This window comes from Homo sapiens, chromosome 3, assembly GCF_000001405.40.
Source record: "Homo sapiens chromosome 3, GRCh38.p14 Primary Assembly".
Lineage (NCBI taxonomy): Eukaryota > Metazoa > Chordata > Mammalia > Primates > Hominidae > Homo > Homo sapiens.
In genome coordinates, this window is record NC_000003.12 from 70,307,096 (window position 1) to 70,328,040 (window position 20,945).

A 20,945-nucleotide genomic window follows, 5' to 3' on the forward strand; every position below is an offset into this window, starting at 1 on the left:
TACACCCTCCTAGAACAGAAGCTGCAAACTGGCAGTCTGTGGGCTGAAATAGACCCCAGAGCCTGGTTTCATTTGTCCTTGGTATTTTATTGTTGTTGTTTTGGTGGTGGTGTTGTTATTGTTGTTGTTGTTACTTAACCTTTAACAATCAGGAGATCTCACAAAGAAATCCAGATTTCCAGTTTCTCCTGAAAAATCAGGAGACACTATAAGAAATCGTGTGCACTTCAAACGCTGACAATGCTGTGATTTTAAACTGCAAATGGCAACAATTTAAGGGCTTCCATCCCTTCATCTTGATGTTTCTCTTCCGTATCAAATGGTGTAAGCTACAGGCACTGAAATGCTTACCCAGAATGCTCCTTGGCTTAATGGGGTATTACCTGACATCCTATTCCACCTGTAATTTCCCCCCCCAATTTCTATGTTATAACAATTTTTCCTCCATAAAGTTTTCACATTTGGGCCTATTTTCTCCTTCTCTTTGATATGGCTTTCATTCAGGTCATATTTTTCTCGCTTCAAGGCTGCTAAATGTAGCTGTGTGTATTAGCCGTCACCACCCCCTTCCCTTAACATTTCATCTGCTGGCTCCACCCCATTTTGCACACCAGTTACATATTTACAGGCTCATATCACACAAGCCTTGCCTCTGTTTCTTAGTTCTTGTCCTCAGGCCTCCAGTGACAACACAGAACCAATGTCCACTACTTAACCTACAGTCAGCACTCAATCGGTTTTCTCACTTCATTTTGCATTATTCCGTATATGAATAATCAGCCAATATGCCCATTTCCCTAGCACTGAAATAGGCATCTTCCAGCCTCTGATGCCTTTGCTCCCTGCATCACCTCCTTCTCTCCACCTGTGCAAAGAGACTGACTGCCTTCAAGACTGGACTTCCTAGACCACCTTGGCCCACAGTTTGCATAATGCAGCTCATCCTGCCTGGTGCATATATTTTATTTTATTTTGAATCAGAGTCTTGCTCTGTTGCTCAGGCTGTAGTACAGTGGTGTGATCATAGCTCACTGCAGCCTCAACCTCCCAGGCTCAAGCAATCTCTGGCCTCAGTCTGTCTAGTAGTTGGGACTATAGGGGTATGCCATTACACCCAGCTAATTTTATTTTTTTGTTTTTATTTTATTTTTTTTTTGTAGAGATGGTATCTCACCACTGGTCTCAAACTCCTGGGTTCAAGGGATCTTCCCATCTTCTCCAAAAGTGCTGAGATTATAGGCATGAGTCACTATGCTGAGCAATGCTGCATATTTTTAAATCATGCCTTGTTTATCCGATTATCTTAAAAGAGGGTTTCTCCAAGCATGGTTTTAAAATGAATGATTTTTTGGGTCTGTCAATGGTGTTTCTCAAATAAAATTTAGTCTAATTTTTTGTAACAGCTCTGGCTGTGGCTTTCCTAGATCTCTTTGACACCACCACTGATGTGAACAGGCCCATGACCCATTTGGGGAAAGTCAAGGGCAATTAGGAGCCTCTTTGCCTTCCTGGCAAAAGCAAGACGATTGAATGAGATGAATGAATAATAAGGTCCTTGAGTGCAGGAGAGTATTTCTTTTTTGTATTGTTCTCTGCCACACTTACACCTTGTCTCTAGTCTCTCCAATTAATAACACTGAATTGAGTTGGATAAATGATATGAATGTTTGAAGTCGAGAAGTTAGAAATAATAGCAGTACTCAGAATGGTGATGATGGTAGTAACTCCTGTTGCTTGCATGTTCACTCTGAAATCAAGCAGTGCACTCAGTGCTTTGTGTCAGTGACTCCAGTGAAGTGCTTGTTCCAAGCCGAATAAGGCATTGCTGTGATTACCCACATTTTAACAGTGAGCAGTGTTCAGCTGGAGTTCCAGAGGGAGGCAGCAGAGTCACTGTCATGTGAGATGTAACCACTTTGTTCTTAATGAGAAAAACACTTTTTTGAACAACTGAAAGTATCTGTATTATTTTTTTAAGGGGGAGTGAGGGAGGTTGGAGGTCGACACATTTAAAATTCTGATTGATAACTGTTGTGGAAGTCACTGTAATAAAATGGTTTAATGAAATGAATAGAATTTGGACCTCAAAGACCGAGGTTGGAGATTCAATTTGCCACTTAAGAGCCCTGCAAATTTGAGCAAGATGTAAAGTCTTTCCAAGCCTACATCCCTTAATTTGTAAAATGGGGACAGTACCACTGCATACCACTTTGTTGTAGGTATTAAAAGGAGGAATTTATATAAAATACTATAAAAAGCATTGTTGCTATTACCAATGGTTCAAAGTGTGAACTAAGCTCTCAAAAAACATAACTGTATTATTCTGAGTAATGCTTTTAAAGAGGGAAAAAAACAGAGAAGTAATGAAATCACATTCCCATAATCTCATAAAGCAAGCATTCTAGTCCCCAGCTAGGAAATTGAGGCTCAGGGAGATAAAGTAACATGGCACAATCACCCAGCTAGTAGATGGCTGAGCTGAGATTTAGAAACCATGCCTGCCTGATTCCAAATGCCATGCTCTTTTTACTGCACCACTTTGACTTTTTTAAATATATGCCAACCCATATACTTTTTCTTAACATTGAAAAAAAAGACATTTATGTTTGAAAACTAACTCATCCTGATAATTCCCAATTAAGATGTTGTCATCTAGCATCTGGCTCAATTTCCTTTTATGAAATATAGTAAACATAATTCGAGTGTAGCTTAAATGAAGTGTCCAAATGAGATAAAACAGGTCACCTGGGAAATTAGATTTTATAGATTACAAGAATTCAATGCCTACGCTGTACTTAATGGACACGATTCTTTTTTTAAAGAAAATTCTTTAGGAAACAATTGATTGGCCTATCAATTTCATTATTATTTCTGTATGAGACATCTGTAGCACAGAGTAATTAAAGTAAAAATAAATAATATGAACTTCACCATAAGTGGTGGTGAAGAACATCTCTATCTTCATGGATTTGAGATTCATAAGAAAAACACAGGGGCTCTTTGATGCATGTTCTACTTTTTTTCCTTCTACATTGTTTTTAAAGGATTCTATTTAAAAGACCTTTTCAAAAAAAGAAGTTAGAGAATTTTCAAGCTTTTAACAGAAATGATTCTGGAAATACTTTTTGTCTGCATCAACTTTAGTCCTGAATTAGAGTCTCTTAAAGAGATAATGTCCTACTATTAAAATTGCTTGGTGGGGAATTGGGCAGAAATAATCATCTTTTTTCTTTTTAAAATAAGTATATTTTTATTATTTTTAATTTTATGTATTATTATTATTTTTTTGAGACAGAGTTTTGCTCAGTCACCCAGGCTGGAGTGCAGTGGTGTGATCTCGGCTCACTGCAACCTCTGCCTCCCCAGTTCAAGCGATTATCCTGCCTCAGCCTCCTGAGTAGCTGGGACTACAGGGGTGTGCCACCACATCTGACTGATTTTTGTATTTTTAGTAGATACAGGGTTTCATCATGTTGGCCAGGCTGGTCTTGATCTCCTGACCGCAAGTGATCCACCCGCCTCGGCCTCCCAAAGTGCTGGGATTATAGATGTGAGCCACTGCACCCGGCCATAGGTGTATTTTTAAATTAGGGTTGGGGGTAGGGTGAGATTAAGGACAAGAGTGGATGTGAGGGTATGATGAAGTTGGAGGTGTTGATTTCAACACTGTAGGAAAACATTTTTGAGCACAGATCATGTTCTGACGAGTAACTTAAACATTTTTTTTCTTTGGAACATGATGAGGTGGTGGTTACATTCACATGCTGTAGAATCACACAAACTGGCATTGAATCTCAGCTTTGGCACTTTCCAATTTTGTAATTTTAGGCAAGTTACTAGAACTCTTTAAGGCTCAATTTTCTTATTGGTAAATTAAGGATAATAACTGCTTCACAGGGTTGTCATGATGATTCAGCAAAATCATCAATAAATATCAATAAACATTGTCAATGTTGATGTTATTGTTATCATTATTTTGGTGTTGTCTAATTAACATGACATATTTATTAGAGTTTCCTACAACCTTATAAAGCAATTTTTAAGAATGTCAACTACTTAAGTAAGAGCTGTCCTTTTACAATATAATAGATTCATTAAATGCTGAAAAAGACGCAGCATACCTATTTAGATAAAATATCAAATGTTACCTTTTTGACATATTAAAAGTGATCATAAAATCAAAAAATTATAAAACCGTGCCTTCTAGTAAATAATCACAGGTTTAGCTGTATTTTCAAAAGTGCGCAAATCTGTACTCATTAGGAGAACATATTGATTTGTGTGCGTATTTCAAGCAACCATTTTACGCATGCGGAGCCCATGGCCGACAGCATTCTCCCCTGGGAAGGTGGCTTCTCTAATTGCAGTGAATGGTGATTCTATTTGTAGACATATTTTCCTATAGCAAGCATTCCTTTCTGTGATTATTATTTAAAAATACTTGTCCTTAAATTATTTAGTCTTCTTGGCTATAAAGGAGAAAAATCTACAGCACTGCAAAGACCTCACAGATAATATAAGTCTGAGTAGAAAATGCATATTAAGTCTTACCAACAAAGTAATCTATGTTTCCTGCAATACAGGGACCACAAGAAGCATTTTAATAATAAAGATCCTCAAACAACCACTTAGGCCACATAAGAATTTGAAAAAAAAAGAAAAGAGTGAAAATCAGAAGTACTACTATTTGAACGGTCAGGACAATTTCCTCCTTCTCCCACACTATTCCTTGCTTATAAACAAAAGCAAAATTTTCACACCAATAGAAAATCAAGAGCAAGAAGACTTACCTTCTTTCAACCAAGAAATGTTATTTTTATCATTTTCTAAATGCTCAGCTGTTCTTACTTTTATCTTTTCCAGCTCAGTTTCTGACATCTAAGTGGAAACAGAATTTGTGATATAAAAAATTCATTAAGAACCCAAATTTATAACATCGAGTTTTATATTTAGAAACTACTGCCATATTATGGGAAAATTTTATCTCTATAGTTTTTCAGTTCACTGTCCAATGTTAAGTCTTAACATTTTATTCATTTGTGTTATTTTAAAACATTGACATTGAAAACTAAACTTTATATGATATTTCTTTGCCCAGCAACAAAGATTGTTACAAGACCTTACAATTTCTCAATGTGAAAGAATAACAGATTAACAACTAGCCATGGATTTGTAAGAAACAAACAAACATTCAGTAGCTGTTTTAGTATTTTCTATAGCCTATAGAAAAGCATGCTGCAAAGTGGTATGCAAAGAGACAAATAACAATAAAACACAAAAGCATCTTTTCAGGAATTTATTGGGTGGGAATAAGAACCTTATGACCTAAACCAGGCCAAGTTGAGCTCCCTGAAGGTGTTGACGAGACCTATTACGAACCTTCGGTGCAGTGCACTTGACTTTCATGGCTTGCTCGCAATGAGCTCTGCTTGAATCAGCACTGCAAGGTACTCACCTGTGTGTTCCAAAGGGAGGCCCAAGGTGTGGGACTGGGGAGCAGTGAGCTGCAGCCTCCCTTGTCTCTGGATGTCCAGCATTCCTCTATCCTGACAAAAATGAGTGAAGAAGCAAATACACTCCCTCCCGGGGTGGTGCTAGATTTGTATTGCTGCCAGAAGCATCTAACTTGCGGCCGAGAGTTTTTTTTGTGTTTTTTTTTTAAGGTAATATAAAGCCTGTGGTTGAAAACAATAAAAACCTTCTCCAGGCTAGCACTTATTTAAAATGACATTCTGCAAAATAGGAAAAAAATAATGAACTTTTCAACTGGACCAAGTTTCTTCCATCCCTGCCATTCATTACTTCAAGTTAATATTAAAAGATGTAGAAAAAAATGTATTGAAAAATATACACAGGCTATTTTGGTTAAAAGAAAAGAAAGGGAAACCTTTAAAGCTACACTCTGGAAATTCATCCTGTAGTTGATAGTTTGAAAAGTGAGTGTTTTTTCCACCTAATATTTTATAAACAACAAGAAAACATTTCAAGTTTTTTTTGATCATCTGTAGATATTCCAAAGGGAGTTTGGAATAACATTCCAAAGATGATATGTCATTAAATTCTTAGGTAAGGATAATACAGATTTTTGCCAGACATGGTGGCTCACGCCTGTAATCCCAGCACTTTGAGGAGGCTGAGACAAGAAATGGATTGCTTGAGGCAAGGAGTTCCAGACCAGCCTGGGCAACATAGTGAGACTCCATTTCTACAAAAATTTAAATTTTTTTTTTAAAAGTTAGCTGGGTGTGGATATATGTCTATAATCCTAGCTATGTGAGAGGTTAAGGTGGGAGAATCCCTTGAGCCTAGGAGGTCGGGGCAGCAGTGAGCCCTGATTGTGCCATTGCACTTCAGCCTGGGCAACAGAGCAAGACACTGTCTGAAAGGAAAAAAAAAAAAGGAAAAGAAAAAAGGATAATACTGTTTTCAATGGAAGATTAAAAACAGAAAGCATAACCCTTGGGTACACATCATGATGAATAGCCCACCATTTCTAAAAGTTGTCATTTTTCTCATCAAGGAAAATAATATTTATTTTTTGTCTCAAGGTGGCTTGCCTCCTCCAGTGTCTTTACCTGGACAATTGTCCATTATCAGATTCCTTTATCCATTTCACCTCGTTTCCTAACTTCATTTCTTTATGTACATTGCTCCCACTATATAATCCTTAAAAACTACCTTCATCAGCCAATTTTCTTACTAAAATAGTTTTGTTTCTCCCATTATTAATAAGATAAATTTCAGATTCCTTAGATGGGTAAGGAAGACCTTGACTGGTCAGATTCTATACCACAGTTTTCAAACTGGGGCCCACAAAGTTTTAAGATTTCTTGAAGGTTCCTAACATTTTACTCCAACCTAATTGCATTGTGGCTGTTCCTTGGAGGGACTTGCTTCTGTTATCAATACTCCTAGAAATGTTTCCATCTCCACCCCTACCTTGAAGGCTTCTTCATCTCTCTCACCTGGAGATGATCTTACCCTTCTCTGATCTTACTTGGGACTTTTGATATGATCAGTCTCCATTCTAATCTTCTGTAAACCTTTCTCATCTTCCTGACAAAACTATAACCTCCTCCTCCCCCCAGTGCAACCAAGGGCCTAGCCTCTATCTCAGTATTTTATGCATCTGTCTCAGTGTTTAACATGATTGCCCACAAATTAATAATCATTAGATAAACTAAAACAGCATATCAAAAACTGATGACAGTATTTTCCTTTGTTCCAAAGTTGTAGAATACATATAATTACCAAATTCCCTTAATTTGTCTCTTTTCTATGCATAGTTACAGTGTTTGATGTCACTTCCTCGGGCATTTGGAAACCTAATCTAATTTCCTTAATAATTTAATCACTGTCTTTTGGAAAAGCAAATTATCTAAACTTTACATATTAGTGGGGCCAGAAAGACATTTGAACAACAATAATCACAGTGATCTTTAAGCAATGAGCAGAGACAACACAAGAGATAAAGGAAATTTAAGGCAAAAATATCTAGATGAGAAAAGACAATTAAGAACCTGGAGAGAATGAGCCAGGGACACGGCTGAAGCTACTAGTCCTCCCAGTTTATTTTCACTTTTATTTTAATATTTGACCATATGATTATCAATATTGTTCCTCAGCAGAAATATATATATTTTAAAATTCCAAGATGGATTTGGATCTTTGTAAGGTTACAAGTCATGTAATATCTTCATGTGCTTTCTAAGGCAGAGAATCCATTCCTACCCACAAACCTGAGATGCTTCCAGGTTCATTTTGAAGGCTTTCTAAGGTTCTGTGTTCATTTTTATATACTTGTATCCTTATGTCCAACTAAACAGTTTTTTAAATTTTCTGTCCCAAGAGCAATCCACTGCTTAAATCCTTGTCTGAATTTCTCACTTTGGAGAGTATGGATTCTTTGATTACAGTTATCCTTTGATAATTCTTGACTTATAAATGCTTTCCACTTGCCTGACTTTTCCAATTACTATGATATAATTATTTAAGTCGAAGCATTAGAATAGAATCTCTGTACAAGAGTTTATTCTGAAGAGGAAAGATTTATGAAGATAGTGTGGTGACTAATTTGGACATAATATTCAATTTGGCTGATGTATTTTCAATATGTGGTCAGTCCTAACTCTTGGAATTTTTCTGTTGTTTTTCTTTATCATTTTTCTCTGCTTGGCCTCTAACTGCCATTTGATTTTGCCTTTGCCCTTTGAACAGGCTTTTGTTCTTAAGAGAGTATAGCATTCCTCAAATTTTCTATATAGAATTTTCTTGCATTCTGAACAGCAACATTTTTCAAAGTTAGACAAACTTACTTTGAATTTTATTGCTGCAGTCATTCCTTATAAGAGCTGTAGGTATTAATTAGCATAATATTCCATTTTTGTCATCCACTTCATTAGAAGGATGGTAAGAACAGACACCAAGTACTTTTTCCTGGATCAACTTTATATCACTTGTCCTTGTTGGACATTAAGGGTATTCCATAATGATGCCAACATTTAACCCATTTATTGATCCACCTAGTGATATCCTTGGGCCCCCCAAAATTGTCATCTGGGTAATGGAGTCTGGTTTGGACTAAGATTTAGTCTCTTGAGATGGGCTGGGCCTTGGAATGAACAAAGTGAACCCACAGTTGATGGCTGGGAGTAAAGAGAATCCAGTCTGATGAACTCCAGGCAAGACAGACTGGGAAACCACAGAGACCCAACCAAACGCTCAAAAGTGACAAGCCAGCCTAGGACATCAGGCAAATCTGATTAGAATCCAAGAAGAGTAAATACATCTTTAAATGATTCCCTGTACAAAGAGTGTTCATTGAGCCCATTTAAAATAATGAACTAAATAATTAATAACCAGGGATGTGGTCTCAAGGCTCAAGGTTTCTTCTTAAAGTCTGCTTTCTTTTTAAAATGGAAATAACTGCAAATGTACACTTCTTTTTATAATTCTGTTCCCTTTATTTTGACTCAAGCCTCAGTATCCCTAATTCTGAATCAAAATCTGATCCAGAAATATAATCTTTAAGGGCAAACTATCCAGCAGAAGATAATCTTTGCTAACAGAGTAATCTGCAAGATTATCACACATTTTATGTTCCTTTTCCTGTTAAAATAGAATTAAATGCATGAAGCTAGAGCTTTTTGAACAAACAAATAATCAGTTGCTATCACGAGTCCTTTTGCCTTTAAAATATCACATTATCACTTTTCAGTGTTTTTAAAACAATAAAATTATATATATAATGTAAGAAGATGAAATTAATCAATGCGTAGGTATGTCACCAACTCAGATTACTGAATTTGAGGACTATCATTTATAGAGCTCTCTGAAAGATTTCTGGATTAGATCCTATACAAATGATATAAGAAGGTGTACTACTGCTTTGAAAGTATGTTTTCTGCTACAGAATGGAATCTCTGTTGTTCAGTATACTCAGTTAAAAAATTTAAATAGCCATTCTAATGACCAATATATACCATCAAATATTGCACATTAAAAGAATTCTTTTTGGAACTTTTCGGCCTTGATATGAAAATACACATGGTATAAATCAACACTAGTCTAAGGTATCAAAGGTAAAGGTAAATAAACCAAGAAGAAAATTCCATATTTGTAACATAGGTTCTCCCAGGAGAAGGTTACAGCTAACACCACAAGGCATGCGAATTCAAGGATTTATGAGATCTTAGATCTCACCAAAATTTAGGTATGAAAAATAACACTCAGTGTTACAAAATGCATTAAATTTTATCTTTGTTTCATGCCAGGTCATTAAAAAGGGTGCTTATCTTGACCAAATTATTTTTATACCTGCTTTTTCTAACTGAGACCTTGGCTGGCATTGAGAAATCGTGTAAGGATAAACATGTGAATAACAGTTGCTAGTAGGTGGTGTGTTACGGATATTCTTGGTTCCTCTGGGGGTTACAATATGCATCCTTAATATAGTTCACATAGCAAAAATGTTGCTCCACTTCATGTTATGGGTAATAGGTTTATAACTATATAATTTCATTTACATGCTCTCTCCTTTGTACTATTATTTTCATATATTTCACATCTACACATGTTATAATCCCGCAAGCATTGTAAGTGTGTGTATATATACACAGGCTTACAGGCATATCTTATATTATTGCATTTTGCTGTATTGTGCTTTGCAGATATTGCATTTGTTTCCTACAAATTGAAGGTTTGTGTCAACCTTGCATTAGTCAAGTCTACTGGCATCATTTTTTTCCAACAATATATGTTCACTTCAGGTGTCAGTAATTTTTACCAATAAAGTATTTTTAATTAAGATAAGTACAATTTTTTTAGACATAATGCTATTGTACACTTAATAGACTACAATATAGAGTAAACATAACTTTTATACAAACTGTTTTTTTGTCTAACCAAAAAATAGGTGTGACTTACTTTATTGTGATATTCACTCTGTTGCAGCAGTCTGGAACTAAACCTGCAATATCTTCAAAATATGTGTATCTGTATGTATATATATATGTATGTATATATGTATATATATATATGGATATACACGCGTGTATAGAAACACACTGTTCACTTAGCTGTCTTAAAAAATAAATTAGGAGGAAAAAAATTCGTTTAATGTTTACTTTCTAAGTTACCATTTCTGGTTTTCTTCATTACATCTAGTAGACCTGAATTTTCATCTCATATCATTCCTCTTTAGCCTAAAGAATTTTCAGCACTTCTTGAAATGTGGATATCCTGGTGACAAACCCTCTTAAGCTTTCATTTGTCTAAAAATGTCTTTAGTTCACTATCATCTGTGAAGGATATTTATGCTGAATATAGAATTCTTTATTGACAGGTTTTTTTTGTTCTCTCTCTTTCTCTTTTTAAAAAACATTATTCTTATCATTGTTCCTCTATATCTAATGTGTCTTTTTCTCCTCTCTGGCCTCTTTCACTGTTTTTTCTTTTTCTTTCTTTCAGGAATTTGACTAGGATGTACTTAGATGTAATTTTCTCTGTATTTTTAGTCTACTTGGGTTTTGCTGAGATTCTGGGTTTGGTAAGTTGATGTTTTTCACCAAATTTAGAACACTTGGCCCATCATTTTTTCAGATATTGTTTTTCTGTCCCATTCTCTGTATTTCTCCCTCTAGGATTCCAATTACACATATATTAGACCACTTGATATTTTTACACAGTTCATAGAGGCTTTGATCATTTTTTTCCCCAGTCCCTTTTCTCTGTTCTTCAGTTTGAATAATTCCTATAGATTTGTCTTCAAGGTCACTAACCCTTTCTTTTGCAGTTGCCAATCTACCATTAAGGCAACCTGGCATAGTTTTCATTTTAAATACACTTTCAGTGTGAGAATTAACATTTTGTGTGTGTGTGTGTGTGAGTGTGTGTGTGTAGTTCTTACTTCTTAGATGATACTACCTATCTCCCATACATGATCACTATCTTTTCCTTTAATTCCTTGGTCTTATTTATTATACCTAGTTTAAAGTCACTTTCTGGCAACTCCAACATCTGGGTCTTCTATTGACTGCTTGTTTTCTTGTTAGTGGGTTACATTTTCTTGATTCTTCAAACATCTAATATTTTTAGTTGTATGCTAGACATTGTGAATGATACATGGTAGAGAGTCTGGACAATGCTGTGTTCTTTTTAGAGGGTGTTGAATTTTGTCATAGCAAGTAGTTAAATTACTGGTATAACCTTTTGATTCTTCCAGGTTTTATTTTATTTTTTCTGATAATGGGTCATTTTCAGTCTTTTTGCTTAGTCTTAGGATGTAGTTCATGCTTTAGGACCTGGTAATTGTGTCCAAGGCATGTTATTTTTTAGGTGTCAAATAAATGCCCAAAGTGCATAAGGAAATATCTCCTCTTTGGTTGAGCCAGAGTGTCTGCTAGTACTGTATTAACTGTGATACCTATGTTCAGTGCTCAGTCTCACAAAAGCTACTTTTTGCCAGATTTATTCAAGTCTCATCCTTTGTATGCACAGCTGAGCCCTTAGCCAAGACTATCTGTGGTGAACCCTGTCTCTTCTCTACATTATAGAGTCCCCTCTTCTCCATAACCCTACACTGCAAATTCCAGCCACTTCAACAACCCAAACTCTTGTCTTTGCTGCCTTAGCTCAGCAAGTCTGCCACTAAATTTGGGTTTCACCTTCCTGCACTATATTAGGAAAAGGACAGTGAAGTCGAGAGCTGGAGCAAACATGTAGCTCATCTTTTGTGTTTCCCTACTCTTAAGAATCAGTCTTGTTCTGCCTGTAGTCTTAGGCTTGAAAATAGCTTCTTCATATATTTTGTCTGGTTTTATAACTATGTATGAATAATGCAAGTCCAGTGTATTCTATCATGACCAAAAGCAGAAGAAATTTTTGAAATTCTTTTACTCCTATCTTTCCAATCAATCACACAGTAGAGATAGTCTTCTCTCTCTGTCCTCCTGTGACGGGCAGACACAGCCTAGAACAAAGAGTGGCTAAGCTTTGAGATTCAAATTTCACTTTATTTTAAGTTTTAGAAGGATAGTAGTTTTTAATGTAAGTCTTTTTTATGATAAGTACCAAAGACTTGAGATTCCATTTAAGCCATAAATCATATGATAGGTAAGAATACAAATTTGCTTAAAAGTATTCTTTGAGCTAACCATCCCATTAAATTAAATTTTTACAAGTCAGTGGGAAGGAAATTTGGAAGGGATGTGTGACTATGGTTTAGATACTGGATGTTTATTTAAAAAAAGATTTGGTATATTATTGCCTCAGTTAATCCTGGAAAAAATTGGGACACTAAAATCCCCAGATAATCTGGGAAAATACTAGAACAGAATAGACTGTTGTCGAGTTTCCTAGAAATACATTAGTAAATTTCAAGACTTATAGAAAATTTCTGCATCCAACATGGTGTCCGAGTACCAGTGGTAGATGGAGGCATCTAGATGGAAAGATTTGAGATCCATATATTGTAAGGACACATGTAGAGAATCCCAAACTTCCTTCAAGCTTGAGAGAAGTGCTGAGGACCAGCAAACAGGAATAGGGGTCCTGATGATTATTAGAGATGCCATTAGTGGATACTACAGACATGATATAAGCTGTAGGCAATGCAAGGTTTTAGACATTGGGAGAAGAAGCAGTGGGAAAAGGGATCATTGCAAAGGCTAGCAGAAAGTGCTCTACTTAAGTGAAGACCACCAGCAATGACAGTGGGTTACCATGTAGTAGGTGTGCTACCCAGGAGCAAAGCAAGGGGGGAATTATTTTGCTCCAAAACCCTCTTTTTTAAGCTAGAAAAGACTGAGAGATTGGATTTGCAAGTTTGTTTTCTACCATCAGCAGAAATGTGGGGTCAAATGCTAAATTAAAATCAGTTATGGAAAAATAATGGCATCGTATATTTTGTTGATCTGAACACATAGCCTTACTCTATACTTTCATTTCAAGTCCCCTCTTTTCTCCAAAGACCTGCATTATGAGCTTGCCAATTTAGTCAGCACCTAAACAACCTTATTTAGAATTGATTTCTTCTTAGAAGAGGACCATCATTACTGACAGAGGTTGTTCAGCACCACCAGGCCACCATGTTCCTTCCCCACTACAGACTGTGTCCGAAATGGGTCATTCAAGCTGGCCAATCCAATCCTCTCCCAAAATTTGGAATTGGGATGCAATCCATTAGCATTTACCTACTTAGGTTAACTGTAGGGTCTAAGTCAGCTAGGGCGGCCTGTTTGGAATGCGAGAAAATAGACAAATTTTGCATGTGAGGGAAAGCAAAGTAGGCAACTTCATTGTGTCAGTTTCCTTATCTGTAAAGTGGACATAATAATGGCATCTACTTCAGAGTTGTTGGGGAGGGAGGCAGTGTTAAACAAGTTAATGAAAGTAAAGAGCTTGGAAAAAAACCTGGGCAAGTCAGAAACACCCAGTAAAGGCTTAGCAATTATGTTTATTATGAGTGATTTTTGATTTTGCAACTTTATTGAAGTATAATTGGAGTAGAAATGACACAGGATCCAGGCTAATAAATGACACAAGGCATATGCTTTGATCAGTTTTGACATATCTATACATTCACAAAATGATCACTATAATCAAGATAAACATCTGCATCACCCCAACATTTCCTCAACCCTTTGTAATCCAGCCCTCCCTCCATCCCCATTCCCAGGCAAACACTAATCTTTTTGTCTTTTCCTATGAATTCAATTGCATTTTCTAGATTGAATATAAATGGAATTATACAGTATGTATTCTTTTTGCCTAAATTATTTTATTCAGCACAATGATCTGGAGATTCATCCACACTGTTGTGTGAATCAATATTCACTTATTTTTATTGTATTCCATTGTGCTAATATACTACAATTTTGTCATCCATTCCCGTTAATGGATATTTGGGTGGTTTCCAATTGCGACCATTACAAATGAAGCTTTATGAACATTTGTGTATAAGTTTGTAATTTTATGTTTTTATGGTTTTCGTATTTTCAAATTAAAAATTTTGAAGAGAAAAATTCCCAAAATAAATAAAACTGTCATTAGAAAATGCAATTGAAAAAATACTCTTCATTACCCTATAAAATTAATTTTATCCTAGAGGATCAACTTTACCTTTAAAAAACTAGCTGACATCCAGATAGAGTTTTTTTAGTATTTGATTACTATAAGGCCTTCGCTTAACTAAAATATGCTAGAAAACTCTCTAAAGGGGAAAAAAATGACATAAAATTAGAGACAGTAGACCAGATACTATTTCTTACCCTCCCAAAATTGTAGCGTAGAGATGAAAGAATATATCATCTTCTTGTAAACGTGAAGTATTACTTTGTTAAAGATATTGAGCTTTTAGTACATTTGCAAGCTCAATTTATTTTATTTTACAAACAAATTACAGAAATAACAGCATAGTTTTCTCACTAAAAACCTAGGAGTTTTGGAATATTTGGATGATAGTGACTGCAGCAATATAAAATATTGCTTATCCTTCAAAAATTTGCTTTACTAAGTTTATATTAGAAATTACTTTAAAATTATTTACTAATAAGAAAACATTGATTTATTGGATCCTCACAGTACAGTACCTTTTGCTAAATTCTTAACAATTTTGTGAAATAATTATGTAAACTAATAGATATTATTGACCGAGGTATGATTATGCTTAAGGCAAAGTCCTCTTTAACCAATACAATATGTCAGTTAAATTTATCCTAAATCTTAGCATCTGTCTTTCTCTTGAGGGAAGGGGCATCATTTGTCTACATGTAGTCATTTTCCTCTTCATCTCCTAATTGTCAAGTTCTTTGTCATCTTGACTGTGTCTTTGCTTTTGTAGTTCCAAGATCTCCTCCCCAAATAGGACAGACAACCATGCTTTCTTTCGTCCAGTACTTGATCTTCTACCAACATCCGCGAAAAGTACATTTTTTTGTAACCCAGGAGGGAAAGAAAAAAATGTTATCTTGATCAGTCTTTTCTCTAGACCACCTCTCATGGGTCAGTCTTAAAGCAGGATATTTAAATAGATTGAACTTCAAATATATTCTCAGTATAACAGGACTTTTGGATCCAAAAAGAAATTCTAACATTTGATCAGCTATTCACAAATGATGTCTTTGTATCCTTTAAAGAACTATAAAGCAAATAAAAAATTGTAAGCAGTTTTATTTGATCTTATCTGAGATAAAATAATTCTTTGAAGAGCCATAGAGACTAATTAGAAAAGAATATCAGTGTGTCCCTAAATTATAAAATTAGTAAAGTTAAAACCACACAGGACCTACACAGGTAATGCTACAGTAATCTAAGAATACACAGTTGTTAATGTTATACAAATTCTAAGGGGAAAAATGAGATTTCTGGAGAAGTCGTGAGAAAATTTTAGGGAGCAAAGATTAAGAAAAAGAAGACAGTGGTTGAATTTGGGGGAAGGATAAGTGGAGATGATAAAAGAAATTTCTCATTCCACAAATTAGATTGAAAATGGCATCTCTTTACTTCTCAGATAAATAAAAAGTACAAAGCTCTTTCTCTTGAATTGTGAATCTCCTCTAAAATGCACAGGACGTAAGAAGAAGAAAAAGAAAAGCTGTCCTTTCTCTCATTAATCTTGTTTGAAGTTAAGGAAAATATAAAATTAATCCGAGATTTTTTGTCATTATGAAAGGTAAAATGAATGTGTTCATTTCGTACTAAGTGGCAGGCCTTAGTGATCCCAAGTTCATACCATTCAAAGGAAAATTTTCTACATTGCCAGCTCATTTCTCCGAATTGTCAACTTCTCTGAGTTAGTATGGTGACACCAGGATGTTTTCTTACATCACTGTATGCTTCCTCTTTGCAAACCTTACCTAAGTGGGAGAGTTGCAATGGTTGCCTGATCCATGTTGTAAGCTGGTACATGCAGCCATGCAGGCTGCGCACTGCAGAACTCCAGGGTGTGTGAGATGGCTTTGAAACATGGCAACTTGGCAAGGCTGAACTGTTTCCTAGAATTTCTTTCCTTGTATATTTCCAGCTAGGGAGGGCCACAAAATATATTTTTGTGGGAGATTTGAAAGACAAATGTGACAGCTGCTATATTGTTTTATTACATTGGGAAGAAGATTGGGGCAGCCCTTTCTGTAGCTCCTTCACCTTGTTCCTTTTCTGCTGGCATACCTTATTGTTGTGAGGCCACAGTTCATCTGCAACTGCCCATTTTCCTCCTGGAGTCTGCTTCAGCTTCTCCATCTCTTGAGCTCACCTGGAGATAAGCTATCTTCAGGATGAAGGGCACCAGCTTCTCCTGCAGGATGCCTACTTCATAAGGGCTGGAGGCAGGGAGAACTGACACAGCTCCAGTCCAAACTCATGGGTTCTACCTCAGGCTCATGGATTCCAGCCTGTCCATGCCATCCTCCACTTTACATTCATTCGTCCCTTCCTGACCCCCTTCTTTGGCAGCTTGAAGCCCCAGAATCAGAAAGAAAGATGACAGCCCTACAGGGACTGTTTAACCAGCTCCCCAAATTGTGTAAGTTCAAATCCCTGTAACAGACCCCTTTACATCTCTCTATCTATCTATCTATCTATCTATCTATCTATCTATCTATCTATCATCTATCTATCTATCCACACACACAGAAAGAGAGAGAGAGAGATCTCCCAGTGGTTGTATGACTGATAGAGTGCCCATTCACATTGCAGTTCATACAAGTGGCACCACCCACTTGAAAGTTATGCACTGCCTGGGAATCAGATCAGCGGCCCTGAAGGTCTGTATTACCATAGCTTAACTAGCCTGAAGACCAGAATCTTTAATTTCTTGTTTGTCATTCTAGTCATAGGTGAGAAATTTAACTCCGTGGTCAAATATATTTGAGAAACTGAAATCATCCCCTCCCCCTGCACTGCGATCCTAATACATATTCACATAGTAAAGGCTTTTGTAAAGCTATGCACTAAAGTAATCTGTTCAGTCCTGCTTTCATCAAACTTATTTGACTATTTCTAGGTGCTGTCGAAGTACAGAGTTAATGTAACTTAAAATTCCCATTTAGTCAGTCAAAAATTGAATGCAACCCTTTTATTGTGATGTGATAATAAGCATGTGATGAAAAACAATTCTTGCTGATGTGCAGTGTAATTCATTCCAGTACTTTTCAGAAGATCGAACAAGAGAAAGGCCAGTGGCAGAAACTGCGTCCTGACATAACAAAAGCACAGCGTAATGCATCATGATATATAAACAGGTGATAGAGGAAATATTTCTCCTCTCCTCTCTCCATTCCTTTTCTTTCTTCTCCATCATGAGTTGGAAGGTGAATATGTAAATGGCCAAAAAAAAAAAAAAGAAGTGATACGATTAGGAAAAAAAGGCATTGGATATTGAAAGCTGGAACCAGGTTAGCCTTGAGTGAAATGCAGGAAAACTGGGCTTAGAGTGGTTCTTAACTCCGGTGTTTACATGCAAATGAGATAGTTCCATATGTTAGTTGTGGAAGGGACGATTCTGGCAAAATTGTAAAATAAGGTGATTTTTGATGCTCTTGGTTTCTCTTGGTGATGCAAGCAGTGATTCTCAGAAAGAGAACTTTATGTTGCATAGTAACTGGGAAACATTACTGGTATATTTGGTAAAGGAACCTGGGGCATTAACCATTCTGTTATGCAGGAAACATCCTGCACAATAAAGAACTGACCTGCCCCAAGTGAGTTGCTTCTCTGTTGAGATACACTGTAAGTATGTACGTGTATTTCATTTTCTGTTCCAGTCACCTCACCCATGCGGGCTGTGAGTGTCTCAACTAAGTGTGGATCTGATTAGCTGACAAAAGTTACTGCAGAAAGATTGGATAAGGCTCAACTTTCAAGTGTTCATTTACATTTCAAAAGAGGAAATAATCAACTCAAAAGCATCTCTAATTGTGCTGTGAGAGAGGAAAATATATTAAAACATTTTATTAGAACAGTAATGTAGTCCCTTATATGGTGAGAAATTTTGAGACATTTACTTCCTTTGCCATTTGCTCATTTCAAATTCTACTATTACTCTATCTGTCCCTCCACCTACAACACCCTCTTTCAAAGGAATAAAATATGTGTGGCTAATACTGCACCTGCATAACATCAACCTTTGCCCTTTATAAACAGATGTTTATAAAAACAAAGGGCCAGTCCTTGAAGAAAACTGGTAGGTATATCAGATTGTAAATCACATCTCTGTTAGAATAAAGGAAGTCTTGTCTGAACTACCAGGCTACCATTGCCACCCAGCATAGCCTGGATAGCCCTAACATAACTGATAAACCCCTTCTAGATCTAGACACCTTTTCTCGGATGAACTGTGTTTCTTCACGTATTTACAATCCAGTTGATTGTTACAACTTTATTTTATCTCATCTTTCACTCTTTGTTTCCTAGAACCGCTCTCAGAACTCTAGTAAAATTGATTTTATTTCAGTCAAAGCCTGATCTTGAGATCGGCATAACTGCTGAGTATTTCTGACTTTGGGGAATTTCTATTCTCATTTTTAATGTGCTCTCTTTCCTCCCTCCTTCCCTCCCTTTCTCCTTTCCTTCCTCTTTCCCTTCCTTCTGCCATTCTTTCTGTCTTCCTTATTTACTCTCAGAGTGTAACAATTGCAAATTGGTGCAGATTCTTAATATAGGCTGCAAATGATGGGTTTGACATTCCAGCTATGCCACTTATTAATTGTCTGATTTTGGGGGCAAGTTATTCAACCATTCTGTGCTGTACTTTTCCAATCTATTAAATGGGAATTAATAATAACATCCATCTCATAGTATTATTGTAGGAGTAAATGAATACTAAATGTTAAGTGGTTAAAACAATTGCTAGGACAAAGTAAATATTTAAGTGTGGGCAGTTATTATTGTTGTTGTGCAGCCTTCTTTCCCAGTCTGTGGCAGTGAACTTTCATTTTGACTTAACAGCTCTGAGGTCCATAGCCCTCGGCATGAATTTCAGTCCAGTGGCCATCTCTTATATTCTGAGCAGACACTTGGAATAGCTAAAGAATATTACGAGAGTTTTTATCCTTCCATGTAGGCTTCCTCCCTTTTTCCCCAAATTTTGAATATATTTTTCTCTCTTATATGATTACCTTTCCTTTATTTTTGTTATTCAATTACCCCATAAATAGATATTCTATGGACATGAGAATTACATGATGATAGCAAGACAGTCATGGATAAGGTTTTATGCCTTTCAGGCATCATTGTACATATTTGATGATGATGGTGATGATAATGATAATATATATATATTTTTTGAGACAGAGTCACGCTTTGTCACTCATGCTGGAGTGCAGTGGTGCAATCTTGTTTCACTGCAGTCTCTGCCTTCTGGGTTTAAGAAATTCTGCTGCCTAAGCCTCCTGAGTAGCTAGGCTGACAGGCATGTGCCACCACACCTGGCTAATCTTTGATTTTCAGTAGAGATGGGGTTTCGCCATGTTGACCAGGCTGGTCTCGAACTCTTCACCTCAAGTGATCCAACCACTTTGGCCTCCCAGAGTGCTGGGATTACAGGAGTGAGCCACTGTGTCCAGCTGGATGATGATAATAATTAATACTAATATTCACATCTATCAAATATGTTATGAGGAACTTCTGCTTCTAGACACAATGGAGTAAGAAGAACCGATTTGCTTTTCCACCATAAACAACTTAAAACAAACAAGCATACAAACAAACATATAATCCACAGTAATTAGACATTAGACAACAAGCTGTGCAGGACAGTGACCCCTGAGGAAGGAAAACAAGAGGAACTCTATGATTGCCCAGCTTGCTGCCCAGAGAGATTTTACAGGGTTGGGGAACCTAGACAGAGTCTGGTAGTAGGCCAGAGTGGAGGAGACAGAACTCAGAATTTGGGGACGCTAAGGCAGGTAGAATTCACATGTCTGTGTCCTGAAGAGAAGGCTGCAAGGAGAGCAAACAATCAAGTCTTCAGCAAAATATGGCTCAATCCGTCCAAGTGAGGAAACTTCAGAGTCCAGGGAAGACTACCAGAAAGGAAAAGGGAGAACCACAGCCAGAGCTCACACAGGGTCCAGAAGAACTTGTGTTTCCACCAGGCAGAATAAAAAGACTTCACCACTGGGCATCCAGTAAGTCCTCAGATATCATCCTAGTAGTGAGGGAAAATTCACCTTTGAATCAGCCTAATCGAGCTTGGAAGGAAGCCATGAAAGGAGCCAAAATTTTCCAAATAACACTGTCCCAGAAAAAAAGGTAAAACATGTTGAAAGGAATAAACAAATCCTCCAGAACAAGACAATGTAAAGTGACAATGTCTGTGTATTAGTCCGTTTTCACACTGCTGATAAATACACACTGAGACTGGGCAATTTACAAAAGAAAGAAGTTTAATAGACTCACAGTTCCACATGGCTGGGGAGGCCTCACAATTGTGGTGGAAGGTGAAAGGC

The 20,945-nt window shown here is 36.6% G+C and overlaps 1 protein-coding gene and 1 long non-coding RNA gene across 5 annotated transcripts in view, besides 1 other annotated feature; one reads left to right on the top strand and one right to left on the bottom strand.

Moving 5' to 3' along the window:
* The window catches only part of MDFIC2 (MyoD family inhibitor domain containing 2), a 118,160-nt gene extending 112,617 nt beyond the window's left edge, over nucleotides 1–5,543 (bottom strand). For both annotated transcript variants that reach the window (NM_001364677.1, NM_001364676.1), the window contains exons 1-2: nucleotides 5,456–5,543; nucleotides 4,791–4,878 (exon numbers count right to left, since the gene is read on the bottom strand). In NM_001364677.1, coding sequence (NP_001351606.1) covers nucleotides 4,791–4,878 — 88 coding nt within the window. In that variant the 5' untranslated portion in view covers nucleotides 5,456–5,543. The remainder of the gene's footprint in view (nucleotides 1–4,790; nucleotides 4,879–5,455) is intronic.
* SAMMSON (survival associated mitochondrial melanoma specific oncogenic non-coding RNA) overlaps nucleotides 1–20,945 on the top strand; it is a 435,002-nt gene that overhangs the window by 307,508 nt on the left and 106,549 nt on the right. The gene's annotated exons all lie outside the window — the stretch shown is intronic.
* Nucleotides 15,790–16,989: an enhancer, noted in NCBI's record as "CDK7 strongly-dependent group 2 enhancer chr3:70372036-70373235 (GRCh37/hg19 assembly coordinates)". NCBI's record gives its function as "activates an origin of replication core promoter dependent on BRD2, BRD4, P300/CBP, MED14 and CDK7 cofactors, with strong dependence on CDK7, by STARR-seq in HCT116 cells {active_cell/tissue: HCT116}" and the evidence as "EXISTENCE:reporter gene assay evidence [ECO:0000049][PMID:35650434]".